The sequence below is a fragment of the Homo sapiens genome, chromosome 4 (genome assembly GCF_000001405.40).
Source record: "Homo sapiens chromosome 4, GRCh38.p14 Primary Assembly".
Classification (NCBI taxonomy): domain Eukaryota; kingdom Metazoa; phylum Chordata; class Mammalia; order Primates; family Hominidae; genus Homo; species Homo sapiens.
The window spans coordinates 33,489,370-33,515,144 of record NC_000004.12 but is presented as its reverse complement, the minus strand read 5'-3'; the positions used below and the strand labels follow the sequence as shown (position 1 = coordinate 33,515,144).

The window sequence follows — 25,775 nt, the reverse complement described above, 5'->3', positions numbered from 1 at the left end:
TATTACTATTTGAGTTTTAGGGCTCACCCTAGTGAATCTTAATTATTTGCAACTTTGTCTGTGTCCCCTTGTAAGCATTCGCTTGCACTTTTATTGCTTAGTGTAGTGTTTGCCATGTACATAAAGTCCTTAATAAATCTTCACGGAATTCATAAGGAAGGTTGAGACAATTTACCATGCCTGTGAAATGGCCATGGGATGCCATGCTGTGTAGACTCTACACAGAAACTTTCTCAAAGAAGGTGATAGACAAGCATAACAAAATGCCTCTCTACTTCAAACCTCATTCTCCCCAAAAGATAGACGATGTTTTGTTTTCTGATATTTTCCTTTGCCCCAGTTTTAATACAATACTAATTCTGTCGTAATAATGGAGACAGGGAAGTTATCTATTTTTACTTTAGATAAAAGGACAAGTTATTTGATTATATTTATTTTTTCATAGTATGAATTTTATCTGAGTTTCAGTTTTTTTCATTTCATAGAAGTCTGCTGCAATTTAAAGTTCACGGAAAGATGAGAAACTGAATCAGGAAAGGCACAGAATGTTATCATACAATAACTAATTGAGGCTCAAGTCTTGTAAAGGCCTTATGCTACCAGTAAAACAGTGAGACTGTGAGAAATAACAAGTACCACAAACTATTAATACCTAACATGTATATAGTACTTTAAAACTTACACATGATGCTGTCATTGTCAAAGAGACTCAGAAATGACAGGAAGAATATCTGATATTTTGTACCAACCCAGCCTCTGTTACTTTGAGTCTCAGCGTTCTGATATGTAAAATGAAGGGAATAGCTACAGGATTTTGACATTTTGCAGCAAGAAACTTACGTGAGTCTAAAACTTTCTACATCTGAACATGTAGACACTGAGAAACTTTATACAAATAGCAAATCCATAATTCAGATGTTTTTTCTTCGCTTCCCTTTAGGTCAGTGCTTTCTGGTCCCTCATTCTACCAGGTCTTATTCTTCCTAATTCATCAGTCTTGCTTCTTTAGGTGAAGTCATCACCCCACTCCACCCCTGTGAGGACAGCATTGCCTCTACTAGTAATATAGCCTCACTTTGGAATAACATTCACACTGTCTTTTCTGAGTGCAGGAGTTTATGTTCTGAAAGCCAGTCAGGCAAGAGGTGGTTAAATTTATCAATATAGACAATTCTGTTGGAGCTACCTCTGTTTTCAATTAGAAAGGGTTAAGAACTTTGCTTAGTATATCGTTATATATTTGATGCCTATCTATATATCTACCAGGTTAACTCTGTCTACTCTACATTTTCAACCAATAGGCTCCTCAAATATCAAAATAGATATGGATATAGAGATGGATAAATAACAAAGCAGTAACTGTCTTTAAAACTTTATAAAATTTGTTCATAGACAATTTCAGCTACTGGAGCCAGTTCTCAGAAATGAGCTCGATTCTTAATTTTGAGTAAGTTAGAGATTACTTAGTGAATGCAATTAGTTGGAACTTATTTTTATATTAACTTGTTCCTCTTAGTGGAATAGGAATAGTTTGTCAATCTAAATACTTATTTGAGAAAGACTGCTTTGTTTAGTGCTTTACATACAACAGGTGCTTACATAATATATGCTTATAATTAGTTTATGTCCAAACCACCAAGAAAAGGAACACACCTAGTTAACATACTACGTGCAAGCATTGGCAGCACTGTTTTAAATCCTACTGTTTGAGCAGATGATTGATTTGTGCCTCATTAAAAACAATTTAAAAGACTAGTTGCTCTGAGCAATTAACTTCACTGAAGCTTATCTTCATGGAGAAAAAATATTTTTCTTTTTTTCCAACAGGGTACATAAAAGGAATTTTTCTAAAACAGAAACTATGTTTACTGTCTTATGTCATACCACATTATTTTACTAACCCCACAAAGAATATAATGGAATCTGTTTATTCAGAAATTATATAATGCAATGATCTCTCGGGTCAAGCTTTAAGCATTCAATAATAATAATATTTTGTTTTCACTTCTATTCAATCATTTTACCAATTCTTACATCGATCCTTCAAAATAGGTGAGCAAAATAAAAGTTATCTCTATAATTATAAATATTTATTAAAAACACACTAAAATTGTAAATTTTAAAACTGAAAGGAACTTTAGGAAACCATTCGGAGAGTTATATAGTTTATGCATTTAAGTAGATAGTCATTGCTATGATAAAAAGAGTTGCCAGGGAATTAGTATTGAGAAACAAAATTTTAGTTCTTTTAATACAGTGATTAAGAGCCCAAGGTGAGAGCAACTAGAAGTTTGAAAAATAATTTAATCAATTTAGCAACCTTCACAGGAATCATTTTCTATATTGATTACAATTGTAGTTGAGAACATAGTGTTAAAAGAAAAACTTAAAACAATTAAACAGGGCTTCACTGAGCAAAGAAAGCTTTGAGAATTAGGAAGCTCTCAAACTGGAATAGGTTCAGAGTGATTTGGGGGCTGTCACATGACCGCAAAACATTTATGGACAGAAAAGGGAAGTGAGATACAGAAATAGCTGAATTGGTCACAAGTCAGTTTTTGGCGTCTTTGAATGTAGTTTTAACAGTTGGCTGTCTGCGACTGGCTGAAACTCAGCTGCTGTGATTGGATGAGATGTGGCTATTTGTAACAAGAGTAGGTTACAGTCTGTTTACACATTCAGTTAGGTTAGAGTTCACTATGTATGAGGAAATCTTTAGGCTAAAGTTAAAAATATGTAAGGAGTCAGCTTTAGGCTAAAATATTGAGACTTTGACCAAAACTTTAAGCATTGATGTCTTTATGTCACCATGATAAATGGACTTACTTGGTCTTAAACTCCACTGGAAAATAGCAGAACAGTGGGTTTTGTAAGGTGGGAACAATGGAAAAAAGGAAACCTGATTGATTACTTCAGGTAACTGTTTTGTAAGGATTAGAGCAGAGGGGATTTCTCTATTACACACTAATCTATTGTTTTCAGGTGAAAAAAAATTAACTGTTTTGGGATCTATCTGCTTCCTTAAAGTTTCAGTTTACTTATGTAGCATATAGTATTAGTGTCTCATTTTGGCTTGATCTGTGGACCTAGTGCATGAGTTCAATCCAAGAAAATTGCCTCCCATTATTTTGTTTAACAATTCCCAGTTTTGGCACTACTCCCAGTTACCTCATTCTGGGTTTCTGGTCTCCATCATTTTGGGTTTTGGTCTTACTTTGTCGTTTATAGGTTACAGTGTCCTCATGATTACTTATTTCTTTGAATTTTTGTCATTTCAATTGAAAAGAGACCGTTTGGCATTCTCTGCATGGCTGCATGTGAACATTAAAAACTTTTGAAAGAGTAAAGCACACCAGGGAGACTACTATTATAACTCTCAGGAGGATAATACCAATAGTTGGGAGTTTACTCTATAGCCAGGGTCCCCATGAACCAAACCAACTAAAATAAAGAATTATCATAATGAACCAGATGAAGAGTGTATTTGTTTTAACTGAGCAGCCCGTTTGTTAATCCCTTGCCACTGAGTCTCTGTGATACATGATGTATTCGTCCACGTGCAAAAGAAGTGTCAGCAACTGCACTGATTACTCCCTATTCAACCAGTAAAACAATTCTATTATCTAGCTCAACTTTAGCAAGAAAACTTAAAGAAGTCTGTTGTGAACGATAATCTTTGCAATAGAATCTGCTACACTGCCTATTACAAGGGATACATTTCTAATCATTGCCTCATTTGCATTTACTCCAAGTCATAAAAAAGGGACCTAATAAATGATGCCCATCCAGAAGGGTAAAGGCCTCCTTGCAACATTCTCTCTATTCTATGATGGAGTTTAAGAGGAGTGAATAAATATTCTGTTTCTGACTATGGAGAAACAAAGGTACCATTAAAATTCCTAGCCCACATTGAACATTTATATTCCATCCATCAAGGCCTAAGGCTTCCCCTGTATAAAATTATCTGTGAAATCCTCAACAAATAAAAATATACCCCATGGGTATACAAAAGGCCCCCTTTTCAGTTCTATAATTCATAGAATCATAAATAAGAAAGCAAAATTAAGAGAGAGAAGAGTTTCATGATGGCAGAAAAATCTTATCCTCGATCGTAGGAAAGCTGTTCATGTCTAAGATACTGTCTGCTTCTGGGGAGAAATTTGTCGATTAGCTTTACTTTAAGGTTTCTAATACATGCACAATTCCAAGAGTCTGAAGGGGCCGTACTGAGTTGTGAGATTACAGGACCAAGGTTTGAGGTTCCAAAATGTTGCTGCATTGTGGTGGCAAGTGCAGTTTTTTCTGATGGTTTACATAAAACCAAATGTCTGGGTTATAGATCCTGAAGGGTTTGATTGTCTTCAGTTGGTGGATCATGAAAGCTTCCTTTACCTAGTGAAAATACACTTTAATGTAATACATTAAAATCTTGCAACATTTAGTCATATCTGAAAGATACGTGAGGTTTTAATATTGGGGATAATTCTAGTGACAATTTTATAAGGGGTAAATTATATTTTCCAGTGGAAGTAAATCTGATTGTAATCAATCTGCAATACTTTTGACTGATGCAATCCAGTTGATTCAGTTATCTTTGTGTAATGTAATTGAATCTATAATACTCTATTTAATTGTTTTGCAATGAGTCTAGTGAAACAAGTACCTCCATCACTAAAGATTTCTTCAGGCATGCTCCATGAAGGAAAGATATTTCCTAATAACCTTTTACCTACTGTAATAGCATCAGACTTTTTGCATAAAAACACTTCTAGACAACCAGAAACCATTGAAATTGGCAGTTAAATAAAATCAAATATTCAAATAGTCCTTCAGGAGTTTAGCTGACCAAACATTGATCATTGGATCGATTGTGGTGACTGTTCTAAATTTATAAAAATGGTTTTTGACCAATGATTGACATTTGTTCATCTACAAATATATGATTGAATTAGGTAATATACTGGATTATTTTATCTCTGTTATGATGAGTCATGGAGCACAGAGATATTTATAATGGGAGCTTTAAAAACAGGATGAAAAAGAAAAGAAGACAGGAAGGAGCAGGGGGCCATATAGGTTCTCCATGAATTGATGCTTAAAATTAAATATTATCTGCTTAAATACCAATTTGGTTTCTCAAATTCAGGTGCATAGTAGTGTTTATTAAGTGGGTTATCATAGGATCATAGGTAATTTGACTTGGACCACGCAGTTTACACAAATTGCATATCTTAACAATTTTAATACTGGATAATTTAGCACGAAACTCTGGCAAGGTTTTTTCTTGGTATGCAATTAGTTCTTATCCTGCTGGGTTAGCCATTGTATAAACCAGTCCATCTCTACGTTAGAGTTCTGGGAATTCTCACCCAGTCCAAATGATATAATCCAAATTTTGTTAAAAATCTCCTTTCGAGAGTGATTGTCAGGGTCCTTTCTATTCTTTTCATGAACCTCCTTGAAGACACAACAGTTTAGGATTATAATTTCTTCCAAAGAGAGAGAGAATGCATCAAAATTAAACAATTAACAGTGTTCAGGACTTAATATGATTATGGTTAAAGATGCAATTGACAAGAACATTTGGGCTACAATAATTTAGAATAATAACCATAATTATGACTGATAACATATATCATGATGTATCAAAATTTTAGGACTCTCATACAATTTTGAAACATATAGTAATAACAAATCCATTAAAATATAACTCAAAGAATATTAAATATTATATTATATTTGACAATTCTTCCCATATCATTTAGCATATCATGTAAGACTGTTTATCTCTCTTTTGGATGCTGCAATGGTCCTCTTTAGTCCTCCAAAGTTAAAGTCCTCCTACATTAGTTTGAGGTCAAAAAAGATTTAACCTTGAATTTGAAATTGACTTGGAGAAGCTGGTCAAATATGTCAAAGATTTTAAACACTTAATCAAAATAGGATCACACACAAGTCACTATAAAATAATAACCATTCATTTTGCCAAAGTGATAATTATAAAATTTTAATTTTTAAGAAGCCAATATTTTATTTTATAGAGAATAAACTCAGTTTTCCAAACAATCCAAGACCTAATAAAAACAGCATTGGACAGAATTTTTGTCTCATTCACACCTCTCTCAGTCTTTTTTTTTTCCAAAAGGTTGATTTTAATGAAAAGGTGAACAAAAATATTTTAGTATGACTTACGACTACTACATGAAAATTTTGTTTAAAAGAGAAAACCAAATTTTATGTTTGTATTAGTGTATTATCAATACTAAAGCTAGTTTTAATAAAACTTTATAAACAAACTTTTGCAACCCCAGTTAGCTTTTTATCACACATTATTTCCATAAATCTTTTATAATCTCTTACATTTTTTCCATCCTCTTTTCTCACAAAAATAACTTAGCCTTATTGTTTTTTTTTATTTAATCAATTTGAAATAATCTTTGTATTAGTTCATTTTCACACTGCTATGAAGAAATATCCAAGACTGGGTAATTTATAAAAGAAAAACGTTTAATTGACTCACAGTTCTGCATGGCTAGGGAGGCTTCAGGACACTTACAATGGTGGAAGGGGAAGTAAACATCCTCCTTCACATGGCAGCAAGAGAGAGAAGTGCCAAGCAAAGGGGGAAATTCCCTTATAAAACCATCAGATCTCATAAGAACTCATTCACTTTCATGAGAACAGCATGGGGATAACTGCCTCCATGATTCAATTACCTCTCATCAGGTCCCACCCATGATACATGGGGATTATGGAAACTACAATTCAAGATGAGATTTAGGTGGGGACAAAGAGACAAACCATTTATTCCAACTCAGTCCCCTCTCAAGTCTCAAGTCCTCACATTTCAAAATGCATTAATGCCTTTCCCATAGTCCCCCAAAGTCTACCTCATTCCAGCATTAACTCAAAAGCCCATGTCTAAAGTCCCACCTTAGACAAGGCAAGTACCTTCTGCCTATGAGCCTGTAAAATCAAAGGCAAGTTAGTTACCTCCTAGATACAATGAGGGTGCAGGCACTGGGTAAATACACCAGTTCCAAATATAGAAATTAGCCAAAACGAAGAGGCTACAGGCCTCATGCAAGTCCAAAATCCAATAGGGCAATAATTAAAACTTAAATTTTCTAAACGATCTCCTTTGACTCCATGTCTCACATCAGGTCATGCTGATGCAAGATGTGGGCACCCACAGCTTTGGACAGCTCCACCCTTTTGCTTTGCAGGGTAGAGCCCCCCTCCCATCTGCTTTCATAGACTGCACTGAGTGTCTGCAGCTTTTCCAGGTGCAGGGCAGAAGCTGTTGGTGGATCTACAATTCTGGGGTCTGGATGATGCTGGCCCTCTTCTCACAGCTCCACTAGGCAGTGCCCTAGTTGGGGGACTCCGTTTGGAGGCTCTAACCTCACATTTCCCTTCTGCATTGCCCTAGCAGAGGTTCTCCATGAGGGCTCTGCCCCTGCAGCAAACTTCTGCCTGAACATCCAGGCATTTCCATACATCCTCTGAAATCTAGGTAGAGTTTCCCACCTATGTACCCACACGCCCAACACCACGTGTAAGTTGTCAAGGATTGGGGCTTGTATCATCTGAAGCAATGATCTGAGCTGTAGGTTGGCCACTTTTAGCCATGGCTGAGACATAGGGCACCAAGTTGCAAGACTGCCCAAAGCAAGGCCCTGAACATGGCCCATGAAACAATTTTACTGTCCTAGGCCTTTAGGCCTGTGGTGGGAGGGGCTGCCACAAAGGTCTCTGACATGCTCTGGAGACATTTTCCCCATTTTCTCAGTGATTAACATTTGACTCCTGTTTACTTATGCAAATTTCTGTGGTGGGCTTGAATTTATCCCTAGAAAATGGGTTTTTCTTTTCTATTATAACATCAGGCTGCAAATTTTCCAAACTTTTATGCTTTGTCATTTCTTGAACACTTTGCTGTTTAGAAATTTCTTCTGCCAGATACCCTATGTCATCTCCCTCAAGTTCAAAGACCACAGATCTCTAGGGAAGGGGCAAAATGCCACCAGTCTCTTTGCTAAAGCATAGCAAATATCACCTTTATTCCAGTTCCCAATAAGTTCCTCATCTCCATCTGAAACCACTTCAGGCTGGACTTTATTATCCATATCACTATCAGCATTTTTGTCAAAGCCATTTAAGAAGTCTCTAGGAAGTTTTAAACTTTCCCACATCTTTCTGTATTCTTCTGAGTTCTCCAAACTGTTCTAGCCTCAGGCTATTACCCAATTCCAAAATAGCTTCCATGTTTTGGGGCATCATTGTATCAGCACCCTACTCTCTGTGGCACAAATTTACTATATTAGTTCCTTTTCATGCTGCTGTGAAGGTATACCTGAGACTGGGTAATTTATAAAGGAAAGGTGTTTAATTGACTCACAGTTCTGAATGCCTGGGTGGCCTCAGGACACTTGCAATTATGGCAGAAGGGGAAGCAAACATGTTCTTGTTCACATGGTGGCAGGAGAGAGAAATGCTGAGCAAAAAGTGAAAAGCCCCTTATAAAACCATCAGATCTTGTGAGAACTCACTCACTATCACAAGAACAGCATGGGGATAACCAACCTCATGATTCAATTACCTCCTACTGGGTCCTTCCCACAATACAAGGGGATTATGAAAACTACAATTCAAGATGAGATTTGGTTCAGGACACAGAACCAAACCATATAAAACTTTAAATAACTTTTATACTACATGAAATTATTTCTTCTCAACAAACACACATTTTCATGCCTTTAAAACTTTCCTTGTCAAAAATATACCTTGCTTTCCTCATACACTCTGTATATAGAATTGTTTCTCTTATATTCACTAGTTTTAATTACTTATATCAACTACAATTTTTACTTTTAATAACCCTAATTATCAGTGAAAAAATCTAGAAAACATATGATTTAAACGGTTTTATATTAATATTTAAGGTTGAAAATTATTTCATATCATTCAGAAAGATATGTTTTCTCAATTTTTTGTTTATTAACAGATATAAATATATGTAGCTTTTTATACTATATAAAATGTCAAAGCATAAAAACTTAAATGTATATCTAATAATTAATGTTTCAGTATCTTAACTTGCTTAGAAATGACTGATATTTTATGATTATTTATTACTTAATTAAATATAATGACTTATTTCATTTTATTTATTTAAAATAACTAAAAATAATTTTTTACAATAACACAAGTATCATCTCTACTGTCTTCTTTTATTCTCCAGGGTTCCCAGTTGTCCATATGACAGGATAACTCTGAAGGACAGAGCTTGTCTGGATTCACAATTGACATAGCAGATATAAAGCTTAGGACAGAGTCTAGAGCTGTGAAGATGATGCCTGGAGGATACAAACCTTCCCACCTGGTCAGAAGGTACACTCAGGCTAGGGAAAACAGGACTTTGCCTTGCAGCTGGTGGCACATATGCTGAGGACATGCATGTGCCTCCAGGCCTCACCATGGCCACCTATCTAGAGGCTCAAAACCAAAGACACTAATCTCACAGTAAGGTGTGGGCAAGATGTTAGAGGAACCCAGTAGCCAGCACTTACAACTTTAGCTTATAGACAAATCAAGCATGTATCAAAAATATTACAGGAGCTGCAGTTTTATGACCCCAAAATATGTTTTAGGATAGCATAAACCAGTCTGACCATTAGGCCCAGGAAAAAAATGTCTAAATTATATTTAATACTGGCAATCTTGAAGACATTTCTGTTTTATTTTACCTACAATTTTAAAATTAGCTTTATTTACCAAATAATATCTGAAATCACATAGAACTACCATATACACATAACACATAAACATACTGACATACAGACACAGATAGAAATAGATCTTATAGCTTTCAATCAGATTGTGTGTTTTTTGCCAAATTCCAAATAGCTTTTCTTTTCCACATTCAGACTATCAATTTTTAAATTACCTGTTTATTTTCTTAAGCAATTATTAATTAGTAAATCATAAATTATCACTTCTAAATGGACAACTCTTAGGTGAAACAAGATGGAAAATTTATATGTCAAAAACACACAGCTAGAACTTTATGCCTAAATAGTATATCAGTTTTACCCAAACAAGGAAAGAAGGAGGTAAAGACCCAGTTAAGACAAGATGTCCTGAAAAAGCACCTTAAACTTAAATAAGACTTGTTATGTAAATTTAAACCAATGATAAGAGTTTCTAAGTGACTCAGTCTTCCCTCTCCTCCAGGTTCATAGAGGCAGACACCCTTACAAAGGGAGATTTCTTTTCTAGATGTAAATTTCTTTTACAAAAGAGTTTCAAAATATCTATCTAAGTCACAAAAATTTACTGAGTTCAGAGTGGAGACCCTTAAGGAAAAGGGCAAAGAAAACATTTTCTATGTCTGGACTCAGCATGAGTAGCTCCAAGAAAGAAGTGAGCCTACTTAACCTGAGGGCCTATCTCTTATAAACACTTTATCCTGCTTTTTTTTAACCTTTAGAGGGGAATGATAACTAAGCCAAAAGGTTAGTAGATTCCATTTTTCTTTGCAATTGGTTGCTTAAGTTTTTTGTTTTCCTTTTATAAAGTCTTTTAAAAGGGAGTTTCAGGCTTTTTAGAAGCTTCAACCAGCATCCCTGGATTAGCCTAATTCAGGAGATCTCATCTTGAAATGCATGTCTTAAAGTGCAACACTGCTCATATGGAATGTCCCACTGTAATTTTAAATTATCTATAGTAAAATTTTGCATTTTTTGTAAGCATTTGCTGCTTCTGGGGCCTAATACTTATACACATAAATGTAGGCATATCTGCAAGGTTGATTACTCAGTTCTTCAGAAATTAAGAATCTCATTTTGACATCAAAACTTGGATTTGGCTCTTAGATCCCTTTGAGCAACTTAGTCAATGATTTTTTCCTACCTAAGTACAGAACAAGAAGCAAAATGGATAAAACACAAAAATTCCCATGAATTTCTGAAAGCAAGAGCTTTCACTCCCTGCAATATTGCCATTTACTGCCATTTTTTTTTCTGACCCAGTCAGACATTCAAACTTCTAGCTAGACCCAATCCAGTTAACTATTAGATTTAATATGGTCCTGGACCCAGTGTGGTTTCTGTCCTGATTTCTGAATTCACTTCAAAAAATATTTGCTCAAACAATTTCAGATAGCTTAAAACACAAATCTGTGGAGCTTTACATATTTAATTAAGTTAAATATTTTGAGATGAGGAAATTAACCTGAATTATCTGGTTGGCCCTGATTCCAATTACATGTCTCCTCATAAGAAAAAAGCATTTGACAAGATCCATCATGCTTTCATGATTAAAACCCTCAGCAAAATCAGCATACAAGGGACTTACCTCAATGTAATAAAAGTCATCTATGACAAACCCCCAGTCAATATAATACTGAATGGGAAAAAGTTGAAAGAAATCCCCCTGGGAACTAAAACAAGACAAGATGCCAACTCTTGCCACTTCTATTCAACAAAGTACTAGAAGTCCTAGCCAGAAAATTCAGACAAGAGAAATAAATAAAGGGCATCTGAATCAATAAAGAGGAAATCTAACTGTCACTGTTTGCTGATGATATGATTGTATACCCTGATTGAAAACCCTGCAGACTCCTCCAAAATGCTCATAGAACTGATAAATGAATTCAGCAAAATTTCAGAGTACAGTATTAATGTATACACATCAGTAGCTCTCCTATACACCACCAGTGACCAAGCTGAGAATCAAATAAATAACTCCACCCCTTTTACAATAGCTCCAAAAAATAAAATATGTAGGAATATACCTAACCAAGGAGGTGAAAGACCTCTACAAGGAAAACTACAAAATACTGCTGAAAGAAATGTTAGATGGCACAAACAATTGGAAACATATGCCACGCTCATACATAGGTAGAATAAATATTGTGAAAATGACCATACTGCCAAAAGCAATCTACAAATTCAATGCAAATCCCATCAAAATACCACCATCATTCTTTGGAGAACTAGAAAAACAATCCTAAAATTCATATGGAACCAAAAAAGAGTCGGCATAGCCAAAGCAAGACTAGGCAAAAAGAACAAATCTGGAGACATCACAAAACCTGATTTCAAACTATACTGTAAAGCCATAGTCACCAAAACAGCATGGTACTGGTATAAAAATAGGCATACAAACCAATGGGACAGAATAGAGATCCCAGAAATAGAGCCAAATACCAATAGCCAACTAATCTTTGACAAAGCAAGCAAAATCATAAAGTGAGGAAAGGACACACTATTCAACAAATGGTGTTGGGATAATTGACAAGCCACATGTAGGAGAATGAAACTGAATCCTCACCTCTCACGTTATACAAAAATCAACTTAAGATGGATCAAGGTCTTAAATATAAGACCTGAAATTATAAAACTTCTACAAGATAACATCAGAAACACCCTTCTAGACATTGGCTTAGTCAAGGATTTCATGACCAAGAACCCAAAACCAAACGTGATAAAATCAAAGATAAATAGGTGGGATTTAAACTAAAGAGCTTTTGCATGGCAAAAGGAACAGTTAGCAGAGTAAACAGATAACCCACAGAGTGGGAGAAAATCTTCACAATCTATACATCTGACAAAGGACTAATACTCAGAATCTACAATAAATTCAAATTAGCATGAAAAAAGCAAACAATCCCATCAAAAAATGGGCCAAGGACATGAATAGACAATTCTAAGAAGAAGATACACAAATGGCCAACAAACATTTGAAAAAAATGCTCAACATCACTAATGATCAGGGAAATGCAAATCAAAACCACAATGTAATACCACCTTACTCCTGCAAGAACGGCCATAGACAGAACATCAAATAATAATAAATATTGGTGGGGATGCAGTGAAAAGGGAACACTTCTACACTGCTGGTGGAAATGTGAACTAATACAACCACTATAGACAACAGTGTGGAGATTCCTTAAAAAACTAAAGTAGAACTACTTTTTGATCTAGCAATCCCACTACTGGGTATCTACCCAGAGGAAAAGTAATCACTTTATAAAAAAGATACTTGCACACACATTTATAGCAGCACAATTCACAATTGCAAAAATGTGGAACCAACCCAAATGCCCATCAATCAATGAGTAGACAAAGAAACTGTGGCATATATACATATATATACACACACACACACACACACACACATATATGTACGTAATGGAAAACTATTCGGCCATATAAAGGAATGAAGTAATGGCGTTTGCAGCAACCTGGATGTGATTGAAGACTATTATTCTAAGTGAGGTAACTCAGGAATGGAAAATCAAACATTGTATGTTCTCATTCATAAATGGGAGCTAAGCTATGAGGATGAAAAGACATAAGAATGACGTAATTGACTTTGGGGATTCGGGCGGAAAGGGTGGGAGAGGGTTGAGGGATAAAAGACTACAAATTTGGTTCAGTGTATACTGCTCAGGTGATGGGTGCACCAAAATCTCACACATCACCACTAAAGAACTTACTCATGTAACCAAATACCACCTGTTCTGCAAAGACTTATGGGAGTAATTTTTTTTTTAAATTGATTTTAAAAATAAGAAAAAGCATCAGGCATTTAACCTAACTTTTCTCTACTAACTAGATCTCAAATCGTTGATGATGGAAAGTTTCTCTTTATGAAAGTATTCTAATAACTAAAAAACGAAGGCAATAAAAATATCACCATTTTGCAAACCCCTGATGAAATAACGAATCTAGGCAATGGTTGTCAATAGTCATGAATCCTCCAAAAATAGAGAGACAGACAACATTACCTGACTCAGGTGAGAAATACACTCCACCACCTATGAAGCAGTTTTGTCCCAAAATAGTAATATCTGATTACTATTTGGGACTATTTTTGTCCCAAAATAGTAATATCTGATTACTATTTACAGGAAATTAAAAAAAGAACACATTAAATCGTCCATTAAATAAAAAGCATTACAACAAGTGGTAGCCTGCTTTTTAAAAATTTAATTATGATGACCAAATTCTTCTTGATAAATGAACAAAACATTTCTTCGTATTCTCTTTGTGATTATCTTCATCTTAACAAATGAAGAAAGTCAATCATGTATAAGCAAGTTTATGGATGAATTTATTGTGTTAAGAAAGCAAAATGTACAACTTCATACAGGTCAGGAGTTGCCTGTCTCAGAAATATTTTCTTTCGTAGTGTTATCAAATTTTCATTCACTTGGAAAACTACAGCACAGCTGAACCAAGAAGTAGTTGGTCACTGCTTCTAAAAAGATAGCTTTAGAAGTTAGTAAGCAAAGGAGAAGCTTGATGCAGTTGAGTGACCTCAGAGGAGACAGATCACTGTGAGGAGCCCACCCTCAACTGAACTGGCAAGCCAGCTGTTCTCAAAGTGCTTCAAGACACATTGGGGGTTCTCAAGCAACTTTCAGGATGTCTATGACATCACAAAAAATCATAATAATAATGCAAACAGGTCACTCACAACTTTCACAGGCTGACATTAAGCACTGATGATGATAAAAGCAAGGGTGTTGAAAATTGCTGGCACCTTAGCACAAATCAAGGCACTGGCACCACCGGTATAGGTCATCATTACCACTGTGAACTCACAGTGGAAAAAAAAAAAAGGATGGTTTCATATAGGAATATACCTGATGAAACAGTGAACATTAGCAATTGCATGAAAGCTTGACCCCTGAGTTCATGAGTTCACATGAAGGAGTTGTGCAGCATACTGATGTATGATGGTTGCCTCAAGGAAAAGAATCTATGCTAACTGATCAGCAAGCTGAACTAGCAGCTTCTTTGTTCTCATAGAATATCCTTTTTACATGAAATAACAATTGAAAGACAAAGTATTAGTATTGAAAGTTGGGCATTTGGCAGACATTTTCTCAAAAACAAAATGAAACTGTTATATCAAAAAAAAATCACTGACATATTTGTTGATGGTGATAAAAGTCAAGCCTTCAAGCAAAAATATAGACACTTGGAAAAATTGTATCTGCCACTAAGAGCATGACAGCTTTCCCAATATGCACACAGCTAATAAGAAGGTAGTGTGTACTTAAATTTGTTGAGGGTACATCTTATGTTAAGTGTCCTTAACATACACGAAATAAAAATGAAAATAAAACACAAGGACACAAGGAAACTTTGGAGGTGATGGACATGTTTATCATCTGGATTGTGGTGGTGGTGGTAACAGGAGTGTATACATTTGTCCAAACTCACCAAATTATATATAATGATTATATGCAGGTTTTTGCATACCAATTATATCTCAATAGAGCTGGAGGGAAAGAAGACTTCTAATGAGATTACTGCTGATTTTAACAACTGTATTTTTTTGATGGTAATATAAAATGTTCTAACATTTAATTCCATGAACCAATATTTTCCATATCATGTATGAGCAGGAAAGATCCAAATGGAAAGCTAGACCAATGAATTTAAATACAATAAAGTGAGAAAAGTTTACTGATATGGTTTCAGATTGCAGAATGCAAACAAACTTTATGAAACTACCACTTGCAGAGATTTGGTGTAGTATCAAAGGGAATATCCACAATTATCTGAAAAGACTGTTAAAACACTCCTCCCTTTTCCGACTGCAAAAAACGGGTAAATTAAAAGGCAACTAGACATAGACAGAGAGGAAAAAACAAAAAAACAACAGTGGTGTTGAGTTAGAGTAACAAGAGATGTGGCCACAAGCCAAAGGATGCCAATAATGTACAGATGCAGAAAGTCACAGGGAACATAGTCCCCCTAGAGTTTTCAGAGGGAGTGGAGCTGCCCATACCTTGGTTATAGAACTTTGGCCTCCAGAACTGTGAGAGAATAAATTTTATTGTCTTAAGCCACCTAGTTTGTGGTAGTTTGTTACAGCATTATAGGAAACTAATGTGGATTCCTTTTGGCAGACTTTTATTGCTTTTAGGGTAAAGTTTGCGATGATTAACCAACAGCTGTATGGAGCCCTGCTTGATGCGTCCATTACTACCTCCTTCAGTCCCACCTTATCTCACCTTCTGCATTTCAGTCTCTTTCTTGTTAAGTTCCAGCCACATTGGTATTCTCTTGATTTCCTAAATCTACCAAACTCCACTCTTCTATGGAAATTTTCACTGTTTTCGCTTCTTTCTTCCCAATATGATTTTTTCATTTCTTCTCTTCAAGTAGTTTTTTCATGATGATTTTTATTTCCTTGTCTTACTCTTCATCCCTGTACATATTTCAATGCATTATGTTATGACAATGTAGTAAGGTCAAATGTATTTGATAATAAAGAAGTGAGGAAAACCTAACAACTATTATTGTCTTTTCTGCATGAAGAAAAAAATGAGGCAGTCAAATATTTGGAAAGGAAAAGGGAAGAGAAAATAGTTGTTTTTTCCGTGTACCTAATTTGTTGCCAGGTGTTCTTATTTCTGAGTAGGCATGAAGTACTAGTATTTAGGAAAAGAGAGTAGAGTTGTTGGTGTGGTGATATAGATATTTTGGGGACAGGTTGCTGGGAAAGAAAGGAGGAGACTAGAAAGAATCCAAACACCGGGAGCCCAAAGCAGATGAAATGGCCCATAAGTAGAGTTTTTGTTGGGGAGAGAAAGAATAAGTAACAATAATGCCAAGATATAAGATGTTTGTTTTTTTTACAATTGACAAAAAATAACTGTTTATATATATATTTATACACACACACACACACACACACACACACACACACATATACATACATAGAGAGGAAAAAAAAAACAGTGGTGTTAAGTTAGAGTAACGAGAGATGTAGCCACAAGTCACTATATACACACACACACACACACACACACACACACACGTTACAATGTGATATTGTCAAACATGTATACATTGTAGAAAGATTCAACTAAGCCAATTAACAAATTCAACACTTCACCTACTTACACTTTTTAGTGAGAATGTTTAAAATCTTCTCTTTTTCTAATTTTGAAGTATACATTATTATTAACTAAATTCACCATGCTGGGTGATGAAATAGATAACTGAATCTTCTATTTCTTTTCTAACTGAAACTTTGTACCCTTTGACAAACATTTACCCTTTCTCCATCAACCTCCCTCAATCCCCAGCCTCTGGTGGCTACCATTCTATTCTCTTTTTCTACGAGATCAACGTTTTTAGATTGCATATATAAATGAAATCACTCAGTATATGTCTTTCTTTGCCTGGATTATTTCACTTAGCATAATGTTCTCAAGTTCATCCATACTGTCACAAACGACAGAATTTTTTAAGGCTGTATAGTATTACATTGTGTATATATAACACAGTTTCTGTGTATATAACGCATTTTCTGTATTCATTCATTCATTGATGGACACTTAGGTTGCTTCCATATCTTGGTTATGGTGAGGATTGCTGTGTATGATGTTGAGTGCTGAAAATTTGAACTAGATCATACTTCTCCCAAGTGTCCATCTAGGCTTTATGCTAGGGGAAACTTCATATTATCTTAATGCATCAATTAACTATCTTGATTTCATTTTAGCAAGAACTTCGCTCTATTTTACAAGAATCCATGGTGGCACACTACTCATTAAAACTTTTATTTGTCAAAACTACAAGTCTTCCTTCTGCTCTGTGAGGATATCTCCTAGAATGTCCTTCAGAATAAACATGAAATGAAAGAAAACTTCTGGATAATCAAGATAGTTGAGGAAATTATCTCTATCTGTACTTAAATGGCATTGAACTAAAAAAAAAGAGCAACCTATTTTTTGGCAGTGTTATAGTGTGTTCACACTGTAACCTTGCTATTGTATAATTTTACTGGATATTATTTCTTAAAAATTAGTAAAATGAATTGAAAAAAAGTCCTTGTATGACCATGTATCAGTTTTATAGTAAAGGCTATATAAGCCAGTAAATTGCTAGAGCAAATGTTCCAACTATGATATTACAGAGATGACTGGCTTCAAAAGAAATTTGAAATATAAACTTAATTCTTAATGATGTCAAGCTTAGAAATATTCCAGACTTGTCAATTAACTCACTAAAAGGCAAACAGGTAATAAAAAATTAAATTATATATATGTAAAGCAAGACATTAACTCAGTTCAACCACAGATGTTTATTTACTATCAACTATATATCAAACATTAGACATTAACAATATTAATGAATAAGGCATGGACTCTGCTCAGGGTTTTATATGGATACAATCAAGGAGGTAGATATTTGGAGGCTTAGTTAGGGGAAGTATCAACCTTAAAGCTTATTCAGGTTGGCCAAATTCATTTTCTTGAGATTTATTACGGAAGGACCTGGATTTTTGCTGGTCTTCAACTGGAGGCCATATTCAGTTGCTTGAGATTGCCCAAAGTCTAGGTAGGACATGTATTTTCTCCATCGACTATTTACAACATGAATGTTTCATTCAATTCCAGAAGGATACTTTCTTTGTTCCCATGGAAGAACTTGGCCATCTATTTTATTAGATCAGGTTCAACCAGCATAATGTCTCTTTTGATTTAACTCAAAGTCAAACTGTTTAAGGACTGCAATTACATCATCAACTTTTTTTTATGTTTACCATGTAACATAACCCAGTCACAGGAGTGACATCGATCATATGCATACCTGTCTTACATAGACTCAAGAGGATGGGAATATGCAGGATGGGTATACCAGTAGATAGTAATCTTGTGAACCATCTGGGAATTCTGCCTACTACGACATTTTTGGCAATATTTAAAATAGCTCTGTGAAAGTTCTGGTTTGACAATTCTGTCATTTGTGTGATCTCTGGGTCTGTTTTTATCTAACTTTATATTTTTCAATAATTATATTTTTCTCTTTCTTCAAATATCGCTTAATTCTTTATCATATGCTTACTAATATGGGTGCAATATTGTTGAGTTTCTGGATTTTTCTTTCTTGAAATACTGTTAACTTTTTTCTGGCAATCAGTTAATTTGCTAGATGATAACCTTTATATTTGCCAGGTTTGTTTTAGGACTTTATTACAGTGAGTTTAGAGAAGATCTTAATCTAAAATAAGAGTATTTCTATCCATAAGTTATGATGTTCCTGAGGTTCCAGCTGATTTCCTGTGAGTTTGTTTCCTCTGGCTTATTGCATCGCCAATATTTCTAAGCATTGTCCAAACTCCAGAATCACCACTGGGCTCATAGTCCCTGCTATGGTCTGAATTTTGTGAACCTCCAAAGTCATGTGTTGAAACCTAATTACCAATGTAATGGCATTAGGAGGTGTGGCCCTTGAAAAGTGATTAGATCATATTGGTGGAGCTCTCGTGCATGGAATTTGTGGGTCCTTAAGACATATTAGACGTAGGATAAAACATTTAAAGAAGACCAGAGACAAAAAGGATAGAAAAGAATGAAGTGTGGATAACCCAAAATGAAAATTTAGAGAATCTTGGGTAAATAACTTGAATTATATTATGATTAGTTTCTTCCTTTAATACTTACATTCAAAACATGACAAAGGGACCTCATATTCTAGAAAAGCTCATGGATACATTCAGTGTTTTCCAGTGCCTACCATATATTTTTCCAGGTTTTTAAACTTCTTTTATAACAAAGTATGTTGGTCTAATAATAGCTACTCATACATAGATAAACTGGGAAATTCCTGCAACACTACTTTTAACATTTATTTTTCTGTAAATTTAGTAGACTGAATTTTAAGTAAAGATTATTTGTACATTAGAGCAATAAGGACCTAAAGTATAAGAACAGAGAAATATTAAAATAATTTTTTTTAAATAATAAAGCATGTGAACCATAACAGAATAGAGTAGGTATAGCTATAGTAACATAAAAGAAAAGTCTAGGCAATAGGTATTACTAAAAATAAAGGAACATAACAAAAAAACTAAAACTCTATCCTATATTATAAATATAGCACTTTTCTCCATTTTATGGATATAATGCAAATCCAGTCAAAACCACTTGTGCATGTGTGCACAATTGTGTGCATAAATTGAGAGGCTGATTTTAAAATATACTTGAAAATCAATAACCACAAAGATAATTTTAAGTTAGAAAAAAATTGTTTGATGGCTTACATAACCACACTTCAAGAATTATTATAAAACTACAGTAATCAATGCAGGATGGAAGTGGAGCAAAGGTGGACACATATATGAATAAAAGAGATGATCAAGAAAACAGTCAAAAAAAAAAACCCTCAGGTACATGAGGTCACTTGATTTATAAAAAGGGGTCACTGAAACTTTGAAACAGATTTATTTTAATGGTTCATTTGCATTTGTGTATTTTTGTTAAAAAGTAAACCTTCACCTTCCCTCATACTATAAATACACAAAATTATATTGCAGATGGATCATAGTAATAAAGATTCCAGAGGGTGTTTCCTTGTACTTTATTAATGAAGACACTATTGAGAGAATTAAAAGCAAGCTACAAGGTAGGATAATCATTTCAATACTAATATCTGACAAATGATTCGTATATGAACCCGAACATACAATAAATAAATAGGCAATCCGGTGTAATTTGACTGATACCATTCAACAGGCAGCAGTAAGTAAAAGGAGTATCTAATTGCAGTGAGGAGTATCTAATTGCAGTGTGTATATGAAAATGCTGTCACCAGGAAAAACTAAGCTTAAACTTCAGAAAGTTACAAGATTAAACTATTAATCTCCCTGTGACTAAAATGAAAATACTGATAATACCAAGGACTGGCAAGAGAGTGAGGCAGCTGGAACTCTCATATGCTGCTGGTGAGAAAATCACTTTGGAGTCCTCCTTGACATGATTTACTGGAGCTGAACCAATAGTTCAATGACTCAGCATTTTTACTCCTAAGTATATGACCAGTAGAAATGCACATATATGTTCGTCAAGGTCTCTTCAGTACATATGCAGTGAAAATGAGTGCATATATTTCCCACACGAACAGGAAGTTAATAGAAAGCATATACAAATACTAAAAAACTGGAAAAAACTCAAGTGTATGCCCATCAAAAATAGAAAAAATAAATATAATATGTAGTAGAATATTAACCCACACAGAAAAAAAACACTACCATTATACACAACGGCATGGATAAGTATTAAGGATAAACTGTTGTGCCAACAGAAGCAGACAAACCATCATACACCTAATAATTCATTTCTACAATGTTCAAAAACAGGTAATGTAATCTACAGAGATAGAAATCGATGTTCATCTTGGGGGATTAATAATTAGGATGGTGCTTAAGAGACTTCTGGATGTTGCTAATGTGCCTTATCTTTGTCTAAGTGGTGATTAAGTTTACGTGCTTACTTTTTAAAAAGTTTTATTTTATTTGTAATAGTCACATAATTATACATATTTAGCATGTATAATTACATAATTATCAAATCAAGGTAATTAGCATATTTTTCACTCTAAACATGTATATGTAGGGATAAAATTCAAAATCCTCTATTCTAGCTATCTTGAAATATGCATCATCATTAACTATAGTCACCCTACTATGTAATAGAACACCAGAACTTAATCTTCCTAATTCTAACTTTGTACCCATTGACGAAATTCTCCTCATTCTTTCTCCCTTCTACCATCCACAGGCTCTGATAACCACTATTCCAGGGGTCTCCAACCCCCAGGCCACAGACCTATACCAGTCTATGGCCTGTCAGGAATCAGGCTGCACAGCAGGAAGTGAGCAATGGGTGAGTGAGCAAAGCTGCATCTGCATTTACAGCCACTCCCCATCACTCACATTATTTCCTGAGCTCCAGCTCCTTTCGGATCAGCCATAGCATTAGATTTTCATAGAAGCACAAACCCTATTGTGAGCTGTGCATGCAAGGGGTCTAGGATGCATGATCCTTATGAGAATCTAAAGCCTGATGATCTGTCACTGTCTCCTATCACCCCCATATGGGACAGTCCAGTTGCACGAAAACAAGCATAGGGTTCTAACTGATTCTACCTTGTGATGAGTTGTATAATTATTTCATTATATATTGCAGTGTAATAATAATAGAAATAAATTGCATAATAAATGTAATGTGCTTGAATAGTCCCAAAACCATCCCTACTCCACCCTAGTCTGTGGAAAAATTGTCTTCCACAAAACTGGCCCCAGATGCCAAAAAGGTTGGGGACCTCTACAGTATTCTAATTTCTATTTCTATAAGATCAACTTCTTTAGAGTCCACATACAAATGAGATCATGAGGTGTTTGGCATTCTGTCCCTGCCTCATTTCACTTAACATAATGTCCTCTAGGTTCATTCATGTTGCCGCAAATTATAGGATTTTCAGGCTGTCTTCTAATTGAACAGTATTCCATTGTGTGATTTTATGTGTGTGTGTATATCACATTTTAAAAATCCATTCATCTGTAAATAGGTGCTTCAATATACTAGTTTTATTACATATATATATATATATATGTATATATAAAAGAATGAAATTGCTGGCTCATATGTGAGTTTATACCACAGAAACAAAAGGATCATATGAGACTATTATAAACAGCTGCATGACAACAAATGGAAAAACCTAGAAGAAATGTATAAATTCCAGGACACATACAACTTACCAAGATTGAATCATAAAGAAATAGAATACCTAAACAGATCAATAACAAGTAAGAAAATTGAAGTAACAGTTATGTTTTTTCAAGTCTCTCATCAAAGAAAAACCTAGGGCCTGATGGCTTCACCTTTGTTTTCTGCCAAATATTTAAAAAAAATTATACCAATTCTACTCAAACTCTTCCAAAAAATTAAAGAGGACAGAATAGTTCCAAAGTTATCCTACAAGGCCTGATACCAAAACCAGACAAGGACACAGCAAAAAGGAAAACTACATGCTAATATCCCTGATGAACATGGAAGCCAAAATTGTCAACAAAATACTCACAAACTGAATTCAACGGCAAATTAAAAAAATTATTCACCATGATCAAGTGAGATTTATCCCAGGGATGGAAGGATGGTACAACACACACACATCAATAAATGTGATATATCAAATTAACAGAATGAAAATGAAAAAGAAAAAGTGTATGATCATTTCAACAGACACCAAAAAAGCATTTGATAAAATTCAATAGACCCTCATGATAAATACTATCAGCAAATTGGGTATATAATAAACATACCTAAACACAATAAAGACCATTTATTCCAAACCCACAGCCTACATCACATTGAAGAGGAAATATTGAAAGCTTTTTCTCTATGATCTGGAACAAGACAAGAATACTCACTTTTTCCACTTTTATTCAACATAGTGCTGGAATTCTAGCCAGAGCAATTAGACAAGAGAAAGAAATAAAGGATGTCCAAATTGGAAAAGAAGGAAGTCAAGTTGTTACTGTTTGCAGAGAACATGATTTTATATATATATATATATAGAAAACTCTAAAGGCTCCACCAGAAACCTATTAAAAATCAATGTAGTAAAGTTGCAGGATACAAAACCAACACAAAAAAATCAATAACATTTCTATACACCAATAGTAAATTTATATGCTTACTTTTAAAGTATTTGTCCTTAACACAGGTAAATTTTAATGTATATATTCATAAAAATAATTTTATATAACTTAAATATATATTTATATTCATCTAACCAAATATTTTTAAGCATTGTGTAGTACATTGTATCATATAATTTTAAAAAGCATTATGTAGTATACAAAACCAAAAGGAAATTATAATGATAAGAATAGTGAATAAAATTATACAGCTCCCTTCCAAAAATAATAATAAAACATGCCACAATAAAAAACACACTAATATACACATGCATTTGAATACCATTCTTCCCAATCCTGAAGACAATATTAATCAAGGTGATGGGGAGTTCCAAAATTTACGATCAGATATGCAGGGCTGTTTTTTTTTTCCTAGATCACTGGTTTAAATGTTCCTGATATGCTAATAAAGAAAGTTCATTAACTTCCAATAGCTGTTTGGTGTTTTATGTAAAATGAAATGATGGCCTCAGCTGACACCATTAAAAGCCATGTCTATAATTTACATTACAAGAATAACTTTCCAGCCTACCTCTTCAGAGGCCAAAGATAAAAAGAGCATTAAGATAGCAGAACTCTTTGCTTTTAACTGCTCTTCTATACCTGATGTATTATATAATATAGCAGGATGATGCTATAAAGCTAGTGGTTGTTTAAATAATCATTTATACCTATCTGACCATTTCTATTTCAGGCAGGTAGTCTTTTCTTTTTATCAGGCTCAGTTTTATTAATATAAACCAATACCGAAGGACGGAAAGCTATGATTCGATATGCCATTATATACCAAATTGTCAGCAGTTGTCAAGGCGTATCAGTTCTCTCTCCTTCTTCATGTCTCCACGTAGAGGGACTTCTTTTAGTGTAACAAGTGGGCTTTGATCTGTTCTGCCTTCCACCCCAGGAAGAAAAGACTAATTTATTAAATTGTAACATACGGCTCAGCAACTTCTGTGCCTATATTTTATGCCCTGGGGCCAGCAGAGAAGATACATCTTTGTTTTGTTGCTCCAAACTGTAGTAAGTTTACATGACAGGCTCTGCCTTTGTGGGAAGATTTGAGGGAGTAATTTAGCTGGAGGGCAAATAAATAAGCCCATCTGGAAGCCCCTAAGCCATATTCTCCATGCACCTTTATCAATAGTAAAGATATTTTTATCTCCACCTGCCTGACTCCTGTATGTTTTTCATAACTGTTCCTATTTGTTTGAGTAGAAAAAGTATGTCCTTTTGGAGCCCCTAAATCAAAAATATTATGAAATATTATAATTTAGGGGCCTAATTTTTCTTAGTGCTACTTTTCAATGTATTTGAGGATTTAGCCTCAACACAACTATGCTGATTGAATGGAAGGCATTAAGAACCCAAAGTGTGAGCAAAAATTATGCTTGAAATTTCTCATTGCAACATAAAAGACCACCTGAAAATTGTGCAATTCAGGCGAATCTCTGTACTTTCAGTACATTAAGTAGCCCTAGTTTGAACTACTGTTTCTCTCTTGATGATGGTAAGGACCTTGTGTAGAAGATGCTCAGGCTGAATTTTTCTGACCCTGAAAGTTTACCTCTGTCTGCCTTGCATACCCTGTAGGAGAAATTAGCTTAAGCTTAAATGTATTGTGACCAAGATGAATAGAGTAAAAGAAATCCTTGCATAGGTGCCAAATTGAATAAATTTAATGGAGAATTACAGAATAAATAATATCCAAAAGTGTAATAGGCTGTTATTTTTTATTCCCTTCCAAAGTTAGTTTTACCTAATCCTAGGGAAAATGTACGAGTTTTTTAAAAACTCTACGTATCCTGATACAGTTTATTCATAAAATCAAGCACTATTTCAAGAGTGTTTTCACTGCGGAAACGATTATAAAGTAGCCTCTCTTCTAGTATTTTATAAAACTCTCAACTGCTGCTATTCAAATTACCTAGCTAATTAGGTCTTCAATGAAAAGGTGTGTAAACACAGTCATTTTTAACCTTAAAAATAATTTCTAACTCCCCTGGGTGCTGTTAAAAATACAGCTAATAAAAAAATTGCTTAAGCTGTGTGAGGATAATGCAGTTAATCAGAGATCTCTAAAAAAACTTCTAGATAGAAGCACTGAACTGTGCAAGCTAATGTGAAAATATTGTAATCCCAATGCATTTGAATAGGGAATTTAGTTCTTTAACTTAAAAGTAGGTAAGTGGTACTTGTATCATTACATTAGTCACATTAATCATCACATTTTCATACGGAGAAATATAGTTAAGCAC

The 25,775-nt window shown here is 34.5% G+C and overlaps 1 long non-coding RNA gene across 1 annotated transcript in view, besides 1 other annotated feature; it reads right to left on the bottom strand.

Annotated features, from left to right (window-relative positions):
- LOC105374391 (uncharacterized) overlaps window positions 1–25,775 on the bottom strand; it is a 52,893-nt gene that overhangs the window by 5,290 nt on the left and 21,828 nt on the right. The gene's annotated exons all lie outside the window — the stretch shown is intronic.
- Window positions 20,747–21,946: an enhancer, noted in NCBI's record as "MED14-independent group 3 enhancer chr4:33494821-33496020 (GRCh37/hg19 assembly coordinates)". NCBI's record gives its function as "activates an origin of replication core promoter dependent on BRD2, BRD4, P300/CBP and CDK7 cofactors, and independent of MED14, by STARR-seq in HCT116 cells {active_cell/tissue: HCT116}" and the evidence as "EXISTENCE:reporter gene assay evidence [ECO:0000049][PMID:35650434]".